This window comes from Homo sapiens, chromosome 17 (assembly GCF_000001405.40).
Source record: "Homo sapiens chromosome 17, GRCh38.p14 Primary Assembly".
NCBI classification, from domain to species: domain Eukaryota; kingdom Metazoa; phylum Chordata; class Mammalia; order Primates; family Hominidae; genus Homo; species Homo sapiens.
In genome coordinates, this window is record NC_000017.11 from 55,559,442 (window position 1) to 55,561,609 (window position 2,168).

At 44.2% G+C, this 2,168-nt stretch overlaps 1 pseudogene; it reads right to left on the reverse strand.

The window, feature by feature from the left end:
- On the reverse strand, positions 1,466–2,168 carry LOC100418888 (peptidase D pseudogene; annotated as a pseudogene).

Below are 2,168 nucleotides of genomic sequence, written 5' to 3' on the forward strand. Positions count from 1 at the left end.
ATGGAACAGAACAGAGCCCTCAGAAATAATGCCGCATATCTACAACTATCTTATCTTTGACAAACCTGAGAAAAACAAGCAATGGGGAAAGGATTCCCTATTTAATAAATGGTGCTAGGAAAACTGGCTAGCCATATGTAGAAAGCTGAAACTGTAGCCCTTCCTTACATGTTATACAAAAATTAGTTCAAGATGGATTAAAGACTTACATGTTAGACCTAAAACCATAAAAACCCTAGAAGAAAACCTAGGCAATACCATTCAGGACATAGGCATGGGCAAGGACTTCATGTCTAAAACACCAAAAGCAATGGCAACAAAAGCCAAAATTGACAAATGGGATCTAATTAAGCTAAAGAGCTTCTGCACAGCAAAAGAAACCACCACCAGAGTGAACAGGCAACCTACAGAATGGGAGAAAATTTTTGCAACCTACTCATCTGACAAAGGGCTAATATCCAGAATCTACAATGAACTCCAACAAATTTACAAGAAAAAAACAAACAACCCCATCAAAAAGTGGGCAAAGGATATGAACAGACACTTCTCAAAAGAAGACATTTATGCAGCCAAACAAGACATGAAAAAATGCTCACCATCACTGGCCATCAGAGAAATGCAAATCAAAACCACAATGAGATACCATCTCACACCAGTTAGAATGGTGATCATTAAAAAGTCAGGAAACAACAGGTGCTGGAGAGGATGTGGAGAAATAGGAACACTTTTACACTGTTGGTGGGACTGTAAACTAGTTTAACAATTGTGGAAGTTGGTGTGGCGATTCCTCAGGGATCTAGAACTAGAAATACCATTTGACCCAGCCATCCCATTACTGGGTATATACTCAAAGGATTATAAATCATGCTGCTGTAAAGACACATGCACACGTATGTTTATTGCAGCACTATTCACAATAGCAAAGACTTGGAACCAACCCAAATGTCCAACAATGATAGACTAGATTAAGAAAATGTGGCACATATACACCATGGAATACGATGCAGCCATAAAAATGATGAGTTCATGTCCTTTGTAGGAACATGGATGAAGCTGGAAACCATCATTCTTAGCAAACTGTTGCAAGGACAAAAAACCAAACACCGCATGTTCTCACTCATAGGTGGGAATTGAACAATGTGAACATATGGACACAGGAAGGGGAACACCACACACCAGGGACTGTTGTGGGGTGGGGGAAGGGGGGAGGGATAGCATTAGAAGACATACCTAATGCTAAATGACGAGTTAATGGGTGCAGCACACCAACATGGCACATGTATACATATGTAACAAACCTGCACATTGTGCACATGTACCCTAAAACTTAAAGTACAATAATAATAATAATAATAATAATAATAATAATAATAATAAAATGCTCTAGCAAACAAAACAAAACACAAAAACCTGATGGGGACTTAGGGTTCATTATACTTTCTATTATTTTGGATATTGAAATTTCCTTTCCAACTCATATTCTTTCATTCCCACTTTTACAGTCTTCATTATTACCTCACAGTGGGTCTCACTGGAGATTTTATTGGTGTAGTGCAGAACCTCCAGCTCTATGTCCGTCTTAAACACTCGGCACTAAACGATCTCTGGGTGAAGAATGGTGTTGTTGACTTTGAACTTGCTGATGCCCTCGAAGGAAGCCTCCCTGCAGACGCTGCTGCTGTCTGTGTTGACGCCACGCAAAGTGAGGAGGACAGAGGGCTTCTGTGACGTCAGGACAATGGCAATCTCATCTGCGTCCTGGACGTCGTCCACGGCATACTTCTCCTTGAAGTGCTCCTTGGAATGGATCTTTCCCATCCAGGTGGCATGGCTGGCAGGAAGCCTGGGCACAAACAGGGCCGACTTCCCAGTGTCAGCGTCGATGAAGCCGTAGCAGCCTGGCTCGGTGACACCGAATGCGCAGTGAAAGAAGGACTCCTGGCGGAAGAGGACCCCGGTGTAGGTGCAGTAGCGCTGAGTCTCCTCTTAGCCCTGCAGGACCACTACTGAGCCGGCCTGCACAGCAGGGTTCTTCCGCAGCCGCTCACACCGGCGCTGCCGGTTCAAGGCAAAGAGCGCCAGTGGCACCTTCAGGGTTTCCTTCCCCAGCCAAAACGAGGGTCCAGTGGCCGCCGCCCTGTTCGCCCAGCACCGGCGTCACGTGAAGT